This window comes from Homo sapiens, chromosome 3 (genome assembly GCF_000001405.40).
Source record: "Homo sapiens chromosome 3, GRCh38.p14 Primary Assembly".
Taxonomy (NCBI): Eukaryota; Metazoa; Chordata; class Mammalia; order Primates; family Hominidae; genus Homo; species Homo sapiens.
In genome coordinates this window covers 8,039,799-8,049,761 of record NC_000003.12, presented here as the reverse complement: position 1 = coordinate 8,049,761, position 9,963 = coordinate 8,039,799, and the positions used below count along the sequence as shown (strand labels likewise).

At 40.0% G+C, this 9,963-nt stretch overlaps 4 annotated features.

Moving 5' to 3' along the window:
• Window positions 7,962-9,161: an enhancer, noted in NCBI's record as "MED14-independent group 3 enhancer chr3:8082288-8083487 (GRCh37/hg19 assembly coordinates)". NCBI's record gives its function as "activates an origin of replication core promoter dependent on BRD2, BRD4, P300/CBP and CDK7 cofactors, and independent of MED14, by STARR-seq in HCT116 cells {active_cell/tissue: HCT116}" and the evidence as "EXISTENCE:reporter gene assay evidence [ECO:0000049][PMID:35650434]".
• Window positions 7,962-9,438: a biological region, named in NCBI's record as "MED14-independent group 3 enhancer GRCh37_chr3:8082288-8083487".
• Window positions 8,710-9,296: an enhancer, noted in NCBI's record as "H3K27ac-H3K4me1 hESC enhancer chr3:8082153-8082739 (GRCh37/hg19 assembly coordinates)". NCBI's record gives its function as "activates a minimal SCP1, AML or CMV promoter by ChIP-STARR-seq in naive H9 embryonic stem cells {active_cell/tissue: H9 hESC(naive)}" and the evidence as "EXISTENCE:reporter gene assay evidence [ECO:0000049][PMID:30033119]".
• Window positions 9,227-9,438: a silencer, noted in NCBI's record as "fragment chr3:8082011-8082222 (GRCh37/hg19 assembly coordinates)". NCBI's record gives its function as "represses an EF-1alpha promoter that drives an FKBP-Casp9 reporter gene in an ReSE screen in phorbol 12-myristate 13-acetate-treated (for megakaryocytic differentiation) K562 erythroleukemia cells {active_cell/tissue: K562(+PMA)}" and the evidence as "EXISTENCE:reporter gene assay evidence [ECO:0000049][PMID:32094911]".

The following is a 9,963-nucleotide window of genomic DNA, read 5'->3' as shown; positions in this document are numbered from 1 at the left end:
AAAAAGAATGACCTCAACCTGAAGGCAAAGGACATCCACAGGCATTTTTAAGGCAGAGGACAGAATTGTGTATTAGCGAGTTTGTTCAAAGTGGCACAATGAATTGGATGGGGGAAGAGTTTTGAGGCAGAGAGACCTGTTAGAGGACTTTTGTGCAGTGACATATATTAGGAAGCCATTGGTGCTGGGCAGTAGTTGACACCATGTGAGTGGAGAAAGATCCCCACAACAAATGTAGGAGGAAGAGATTCAAAGGAAAAGGCTTAGGGAATCCTACATCTTAGGGATGAACAGAGAAATAAGCGCTGATGCGAATGCAGGAGACAGCTGGGGAGCAAAGAAGAGACTAGGGAGAGAGAGACAGGCTGGCTTCATAAAGACAAGGAAAAAATGATGGCTCTGGGAGGATGGAGTGGGCTAGCAATGTCAAATACCACTGAGATGCCAAGAAGGCTGAGACTTGAAAAAAAGTCAAGAGTTGAAGCAATTAGTGGTTCACTGATGGTCTAATTAGATCAGTTTGAGTGGGGTTTTCGTTGCAGCTAAAAAAGAGAGGGTAAGGAAAGCAGTGAGTGTAACCAACCCTTCAAGGAATTGGAAGGCAAAGAACAAAGAGAAAAAGTTAATAACCTAAGGCTGGGGAAGAAGAAATTGGAGGTTAAATAACATAAAGCAAAAAATTGGAATATTCTAACATTTTTAAAGTGGAAGGTTTGGTTAAGAAACAGGAAGTTTTAAAAACAGAGAGAAGAGATGACTGCAGAGCCCAAAGAAGAGAAGATCAAACTACAATTGGAGGAATTTGTCTCCATTGGGAGTGGGGACTGTCTTCCCCTGGGGCAGGAGGGAATACAATAAGATTGCATAGGCCAGGTGCAGTGGCTCACGCCTGTAACCCCTGCACTTTGGGAGGCCGAGGTGGGTGGATCATCTGAGGCCAGGAGTTGGATACCACCCTGGCCAACATGACGAAGCCGTTTCTACTAAAAATACAAAAAAAATTAGCCTGGCTGTGATGATGGGCACCTGTAATCCCAGCTACTCGGAGGGCTGAGGTGGAAGAATTGCTTGAACCTGGGAGGCTGAGGTTGCAGTGAGCCGAGATGGTGCCACCTCACTCCAGCCTGGACAACTCTGTCTCAAAGAAAAAAAAAAAAGCGTAGAAAAATAGTTAAAATTGGAGGGGGGTGGCACACTAGCCTATATTTTCTCTGTAGAATAGGTAAAGTTGTCTTTTCAGTGTAAGGAGGTGGAGATGGAGCATTTATACATTAGTAAATTTCGGCAGCACCCATGGACAATGAGGAAGAAGGTGAAAAAAACAGGTGAGGAGAAGACCTGAAAGCATCAGTAAGAGCTCTACTCAAAGCAGAAAACATAATGTAGCAAAGAGGGCACAATAATGATTTTCTCCAGCCCTTGTGGGAAGCCTGGGAGCAGTTGCCAAGAAAATGTATATGTAGGATGGATTCAGGATTGCTAATTTCAGGTTGGCAGGAAGCATATGGCAAAAGGGCCATAGGATAAAGGAATGGGGGATCTCCAAAAAATTATCACTGAAATGGCTATTAGTGGGGACCAGACAGGCAGGGGAAAAAGAAGAGCTAGGACATGTAGAGGGGATTACATACCAGGGCAACAGGAAATTGGCAGTGAATGCGAGGTGATCAAAAACAACCAATCCTGAAAAGTAATACCGCAGAGCATTCTGGACCAGTGGAGGTGACAGGATTTATTCATTGGATAGTGTCTATAGTGACCATTGGAATGACTAGAGCCTTTTTTTTTTTTTTAGATGGAGTTTCACTCTTGTTGCCCAGGCTGGAGTGCAATGGCCTGATCTTGACTCACTGCAACCTCTGCCTCCCGGGTTCAAGTGAATCTCCTGCCTCAGCCTCCCAAGTAGCTGGGAATACAAGCATGCACCACCACGCCTGGCTAATTTTGTATTTTTAGTAGAGATGGGGTTTCTCCATGTTGGTCAGGCTGGTCTCGAACTCCTGACTTCAGGTTATCTGCCTGCCTCAGGGCTAGAGCCCTTTAAGATGGCATAGAGTCTTTATGAGAAGAGAATAATCTCTATTGTCAATAATCTTATAATTTAATTTTTGATAGCTCTGGAGGGATCATATCTTTATTTTTCCTCTTCATTTCTTCTTAACATTGGAATAATATCTACAAATTCTTGCAGGCAAAATATTCCAGCTTGACATCTTAAGCATGGCCAAAGGAGGGATTTACCTATGTAACTTGGAAGGTGTCAGGGAGGCAAATTTACCTATGCATATCTTGTTCTTCAAAGTCAGACATGCCTGGGTGGAGTTAGACTATCATGTCTTAATGTGAATGAGTCAGGTAATTTATGGAAACCAAGGGTTCTAAAATCCATTAATCTAGAATTAATTTTTTGGCCGACTCACTAAAGAAACATAATATTTGGTAGGAAGACTTGAGAAGAGAATGATGTTACTAGTAAAATACTCAGTGCTGTTGAGCTTGCCCCTTTTGGCAAGAGAACAAGAAGTAGTATCAACAGACTATCCAGGAAGGGTAAAAGTTTTACTAATCTTTGACTGTATACATACTCTGAATTTCTCATTAATATTTACTATTTAATTATAATGGTTTTGTGCAATCTCCAAGGAATATAACCTTTTACCACAAGGCTCCTCTTCACAAAACTTTTTAAAACATAAATGTTATTGGAGGACACATTTGTTTACATAAAACTATGAACTATGATTGTTTTAGAAAGTCAAATTTGCTTTCTTAGGGTATAAACTCAAAGCCTTGCAGTGATTAACTCATCACTCTGAGAATGAGCCCAATAAACTATTTAATTTTTTCATAAGTTATTGGGGTACAGGTGGTATTTGGTTACATGAGGAAATTCTTTAGTGGTGATTTGTGAGATTTTGGTGCACCCATCATCAGAGCAGTATACGCTGCACCGTATTTGCAGTCTTTCACCCCTCAAACCTTCCCACTCTTCCCCTGAAGTCCTCAAAGTCCATTGTATCATTCTTATGCCTTTATGTCCTCATAGCTTAGCTCCCACATATCAGTGAGAACATACGATGTTTGGTTTTCCATTTCTGAGTTACTTCACTTAGAATAATAGTCTCTAATCTCATCCAGGTCACTGCAAATGCTGTTAAATAATTCCTTTTTATGGCTTATAGTATGCCTCTCTCTCTCTATATATATATATATGTATATATATATAAACTGTGATATATATATGTAGATGTATATATAGATATACATGTAGATATATATATAGATAGATATGTAGATATATATAGATAGATAGATATGTAGATATATATATAGATAGATATATAGATAGATATATATATAGATAGATATATATATAGATAGATATATATATAGATAGATATATATGTAGATATATATATAGAGAGAGAGATAGATATATATATCACAGCTTCTTTATCCACTCATTGATTGATGGGAATTTGGGTTCCAAGATTTGCAATTGTGAATTGTGCTACAAACATGCATATGCAAGTATCTTTTTCGAATAATGACTTCTTTTCCTCTGGGTAGATACCCACTGGTGGCGTTGCTGGATCAAATTGTAGTTCTACTTTTTGTTCTTTAAGGAATCTCCACAATGTTTTCCATAGTGGCTGTACTAGTTTACATTCCCACCAGCAGTGTAGAAGTGTTCCCTGATCACCACATCCACGCCAACATCTATTTTTTTAATTTTTTCATCATGGCCATTCTTGCAGGAGTAAGGTGGTATCACATTGTGGTTTTGGTTTGAATTTCCCTGATATTAATGATGTTGAGCATTTTCTCATATATTTGTTGGCCATTTATATATCTTCTTTTGACAATTGTCTGTTCATGTCCTTAGCCCACTTTTTGATAGGATTGTTTGTTTTTTTCTTACTGATTTGCTTGGGTTCATTGTAGATTCTGGATATTGGTGCTTTGTCAGATGTGTAGATTGTGAAGATTTTCTCCACTCTGTGGGTTGTCTGTTTACTCTGTTCCTTTTGCCAACAGCTCTTTAGTTTAATTAGGTCCCAGCTGTTTACCTTTGTTTTTATTGGATTTCCTTTTGGGTTCTTGGTCATGAAATCCTTGCCTAAGCCAATATCTAGAAGGGTTTTTTTTCCAATGTTATCTTCTAGAATTTTTATAGTTTAAGGTCTTAGGTTTAAGTCCTTAATCCATCTTGAGTTGATTTTTGTATAAGGTGAGAGATGAGGATCCAGTTTCATTCTCCTACATGTAGCTAGCCAATTATCCCAGCACCATTTGTTGAAAAGGGTGTCCTTTCCCCACTTTATGTTTTTGTTTATTTTGTCAAAGATCAGTTGGCTGTAAGTATTTGGCTTTATTTCTAGGTTCTCTATTCTGTCCCATTGGTCTATGTATCTATTTTTATACCAGTGCCATTCTGTTTCAGTGACTATGGCCTTATATATAGTTTGAAATCAAGTAGTGTGATGCCTCCAGATTTGTTCTTTTTGTTTAGTCTTGCTTTGGCTATGGGGGCTCTTTTTTGGTTCCATATGAATTTTAGAACTTTTTTTAATTATGTGAAGAATGATGGTGGTATTTTGATGGGAATTGCCTTAGATTTGTAGAGGGATTTTGCCAGTATGGTCATTTTCACAATATTGATTCTACCTATCCATGAACATGGGATGTGTTTCCATTTGTTCGTGTCATCTATGATTTCTTTCAGCAGTGTTTTGTAGTTTTCCTTGTAGAGGTCTTTCAACTCCTTAGGTATAATCCTAAGTATTTTTTTTTTTTGCAGCTATTGTAAAAGGGGTTGAGTTCTTGATTTGATTCTCCACTTGGTTGCTGTTGGTGTATAGAAGAACTACTGATTTGTGTACATTAATCTTGTATCCAGAAATTCTGCTGAGTTCTTTTGTCAGTTCTAGGAGCTTTCTGGAGGAGTCCTTAGGGTTTTCAAGGTAAACAATCATATCATCAGCAAACAGTAACAGTATGACTTTCTCTTTACTGATTTTGATGCCCTTTATTTCTTTCTCTTTTCTGATTGCTCTGGCTAGGACTTCCAGTACTGTGTTGAAGAGGAGTGGTGAGAATGGGCATCCTTGTGTTGTTCCAGTTCTCAGGGGGAATGCTTTCAGCTTTTCCCCTCAGTATTATGTTGGGTGTGGGTTTGTCATAGGTGGCTTTTATTACATTAAGGTGTGTCCCTTATATGCCAATTTTGCTGAGAGTTTTAATCATAAAGGAATGCTGAATTTTGTCAAATGCTTTTCCTGCATCTATTGAGATGATCGTATGATTTTTGTTTTTATTTCTGTTTATGTGGTGTATCATATTTATTGACTTGTATGTTTAACCATCCCTGCATCCCTGGTATGAAACCCACTTGATTATGGTGGATTATCTTTTTGATATGCTGTTGGATTCGGTTAGCTAGTATTTTGTTAGGGGTTTTAGCATCTATGTTCATCAAGGATATTAATCTGTAGTTTTCTTTTTTAGTTATGTCCTTTCCTGGTTTTCATATTAAGGTGATGCTAGATTTATAGAAAGAATTGAGGTGCGGGGGCAGGGGGTTCCTTCTTTCTCTATCTTGTGGAATAATGCCAAAAGGATTGGTACCAATTCTTCTTTGAATGTCTGGTAGAATTCTGCTGTGAATCCGTCTGGTCCTGGACTTTTTTGTTGTTGTTGGTAATTTTTAAATTACGATTTCAATCTCGCTGCTTGTTATTGGTCTGTTCAGGGTATCTAATTCTTCCTGATTTAAGCTAGGAGGGTTGTATTTTTCCAGGAGTTTATCCATCTTTTCTAGGGTTTCTAGTCTATGTGCGTAAATGTGTTCATAGCAGCCTTGAATGATCTTTTGTATTTCAGTGGTGTCAGTTGTAACATCTCCTGTTTCATTTCTTAGTGAAGTTATTTGGATTTTCTCTCTTCTTTTCTTGGTTAATCTTGCTAATGGCCTATCAATTTTATTTAGCTTTTCAAAGAACTTTTTGTTTTATTTATCTTTTGTATTTTTTTGTTTCAATTTTATTTAGTTCTACCCTGATCTTGGTTATTTCCTTTCTTCTGCTGGGTTTGGGTTTGCTTTGTTCTTGTTTCTCTAGTTTCTTGAGGTGTGACCTTAGAATGTCAGTTTGCGCTCTTTCAGTATTTTTGATGTAGGCATTTAGGGCTACGAACTTTCCTCTTAGCACTGCCTTTGCTGTATCACAGAAGTTTTGATAGGTTATATTATTATTGTTATTGAAGAATTTTTTAATTTCCATTTTGATTTTGTTTTTGACCTAAGGCTCATTCAGGAACAGGTTTTTAAATTTCCATGAATTGAGGCTTGTTTTAGGGCCTATCATATCATCTATCTTGGGGAAAGTTCCATGTGCTGTTGAATAGAATGTGTATTCTGAAGTTGTTGGATGAAATAGTCTGTATATATCTGTTAAGTCCATTTGTTCCAAGGTATAGTTTAAATTCATTGTTTCTGTGTTGACTTTCTGTCTTCATGGCCTGTCTGTTGCTGTCAGTATTGAAGTCCCTCACTATTGCTATGTTGCTGTCTATCTGTTTTCTTATGTCTATTAGTAATTGTTTTATAAATTTGGGAGCTCCAGTTTTAGGTGCATATGTGTTTAAAATTGTGACATTTTCCTCTTGGACAGGTCTTTTACCATTATACAATGTCCCTTTTTGTCTCTTTAACTGCTATTGCTTTAAGTTCGTTTTGTCTGATATAAGAATAGCTACCCCTGCCTGCTTTTGGTATCCATTTGTCTGAAATGACTTTTTCTACCCCTTTACTTTGAGTTTACATTAGTCTTTATGTGTTAGATGAGTCTCCTGAAGGCAGCAGATGGTTGGTGAGTTCTTATTCATTCTGTGGTTCTGTATCTTTTAAGTGGAGCACTTAGGCCATTTACACTCAATGTTAGTATTGAAATGTGAGGCACCATTGCATTCACCATGTTCTTTGTTGCCGGTGTACTTTGTTTTTTTTTTTGTTTTTTGCTTTTGCTTTTTAACTTGTATTTTTGTTTTATAGGTCCTGTGTGATTTATGCTTTAAAGAAGTTCTGTTTCGATGTGTTTCCAGGATTTGTTTCAAGGTTTAGAGCTCCTTTTAGCAGTTCTTGTAGTGGTGGTGGTAATGGTCAATTCTCTTAGCATTTATTTATTTGAAAAAGACTGTGTCTTTTCTCCATATATGATGCTTAGTTTCACTGCATACAAAATTCTTGGCTGATAATTGTTTTGTTTGAAGAGGCTGAAGATAGGTCCCTGACCCCTTCTAGCTTGTAGGGTTTCTTCTGAGAAATCGACTGTTAATCTGTTAAGTTTTCCTTTGTAGGTTACCTGGTGCTTCTGTCTCACAGCTCTTAAGATTCTTTCCGTCGTCTTAACTTTGGAAAACCTGATGACAATGTGCCTAGGTGAAGATCTTTTTGCAATGAATTTCCCGGGTGTTCTTTGTGCTTCTTGTATTTGGATGTCTAGGTCTCTAGAAAGGCCGGGGAAGTTTTCCTCGATTATTCCCCCAAATATGTTTTCCAAGCTTTTAGATTTCTCTTCTTCCTTGGCAACACCAATTATTCTTAGGTTTGGTTGCTTGACATAATCCCAGACTTCTTGGAAGCTTTGTTCATATTTTCTCATTCTTTTGTCTTTGTCTTTATTGAATAGGATTAATTTGAAGACCTTGTCTTTAAACTCTGAAATTCTTTCTTCTACTTGTTCAATTCTGTTGCTGAGACTGTCCAGAGCATTTTGCATTTCTAAAAGTGTGTCCAAAGTTTTCTGAATTTTTTATTGTTTTTCCTTTAAGCTATATATTTCCTTGAATATTTCTCCCTTCACTTCTTGTATCATTTTGGATGTCCTTGCATTGGGCTTCACATTTCTCTGGTCTTTCCCTGATTAGCTTAATAACTAACCTCCTGAATTCTTTTTCAGGTAAATCAGGGATTTCCTCTCAGTTTGGATCCATTGCTGGTGAACTAGTGTGATTTCTGGGGGATGCTGAAGAACCTTGTTTCATCATATTACCAGGGTTGATTTTCTGGTTCCTTCTCATTTGGCTCTGTCAGAGGGAAGGTCTAGGGCTGAAGGCTGTTGTTTACATTATGTTGTCCCACAGGATGTTCCCTTGATGTAGTAGTCTCCCCCTTTTCCAATGGATGTGGCTCTCTGTGAACTGAACTGCAGTGATTGTTGTCTCTCTTCAGGGTCTAGTCACCCGGTGAGTCTACCCAGCTCTGGGCTGGTACTGGAGGTTGTCTGCACAGAGTCCTGTGATGTGAACCATCTATGGGTCTCTCAGCCTTGGATACCAGTGCCTGTTCTGGTGGAGGTGGCGGTGGGGTTGCAGTGGACTCTGTGAGGGTTCTTAGTTTTGGTGGTTTAATATTCTATTTTTGTGCTGGTTGGCCTCCTACCAGGAGGTGGTGCTTTCTAAAGAGCATCAGCTGTGGTAGTATGGAGAGGGACTGGCGGTGGGCAGGGCTGTAGAACTCCCAAGATTGTATGCCCTTTGTCTTCCGCTACCAGGTTGGGTAGAGAAGGGCCATCAGGTGGGGGGCGGGGCTAGGCATGTCTGAGCTTAGACTCTCCTTGGAGAAGACTGGCTGTGGCTGCTGTGGGGGTGGGGGTGAGAGTGCCAGGTCACTAGAATTGTGTACCTAGGAGGGTTATGGCTGCCTCTGCTGAGTCATGCAGGTTGTCAGGGAAGTGGGGGAAAGCCAGAAGTCACAGGCCTCACCCAGCTCCCATGCAAACCAAAGGGCTGGTCTCAATTCCACCGTGCCCCCACACCCACCATGCCCCCACACCAACAGCTCTGGGTTTGTTTCCAGGTGGAAGGCAAGACTGGCTTGAAAACCTGCCCCAGGCTACCCACCTCTCAGCTGTGAAAGAAAAGGACTTGGTTGTTCCCCTGCCTGTGGAGTCTGCTCACTGGATTTGGGCCCTCCCCTGAGTTCTGGCAAGGAGGCCTCTCACCCCATTTGAATCGTTACAAAGTTTAGCTAGAGATTTCCTTTTCTTTGTGGAGTTTTACCCGCTGCTCCTCTGGCCACCCTCTCGGTGGATCCCTGTGGTGCCAGGCAGGAATGGGCTGCTCGGGGACTCAGCAAGCTCCCAGGGCCTTTCTACTGCTTCCTCTACCCCTGTATTTTGCTCAGCTCTCTAAATTGACTCAGCTGCAGGTAAAGTCAGAAACTTCTCCCGCAAACAGACCTTCAGCTTCTCCAGCAGGGGTGTGTGTTCGGGAGAGGAGGGTCTCCCTTTCCCACTTCCACATTCGGTGCACTGACATTATTTGGGGCGTCAGCTGGGTCCTGCAGGAGCAGTCTGGTTCCTTCAGACGGCCTCTGGGTCCTCTGCTGGTTTATTCTTGCAGTCAATCTGGAGCTAAAATTCACAAAGCAAGCCTTCACTTGCTGCCGTCTGGAGCTACAATCTAACCCTGCCTCCCCCAAGCAAACTATTAATTGGTCTGCTACTATATATATTGGTTATGTTTTGCTCTAAGGTAGTATTTTGGCCTTCTCATTCGTCTTGTGAGTGGAAACATCTAGGGAATACGAATGAACTCCCACTGGGGAGTCTGTGTTGGAGACTGAGACAGGAGTCCAAACTTCTTTCTGTGTGCTGCCTTAGACCTTTAAGGATAATCAAGGGTTTGGGGGGGAGAATATTGAATTATCACACATGTTTGAACACACTCTTCTGCCAGAAAATTTCATAAATGGCTTCCCATTAATCTTAGTATAAAATCTAAACTTCTTACCATGGCCAAAAAGTGTATGCACAGTTTTGCCTCTTCGTATCTGTGCAATCTCCCTTGCTCAAAGCCGTCTAACCATAGTGATTCTTCTTCAGTCCCTCCTGTAACCTGCATGTTTTCCTACTCAGGACTTTTGAACATATTCTTCCTCCTTCTTAGACTGTTTTTTCTCCA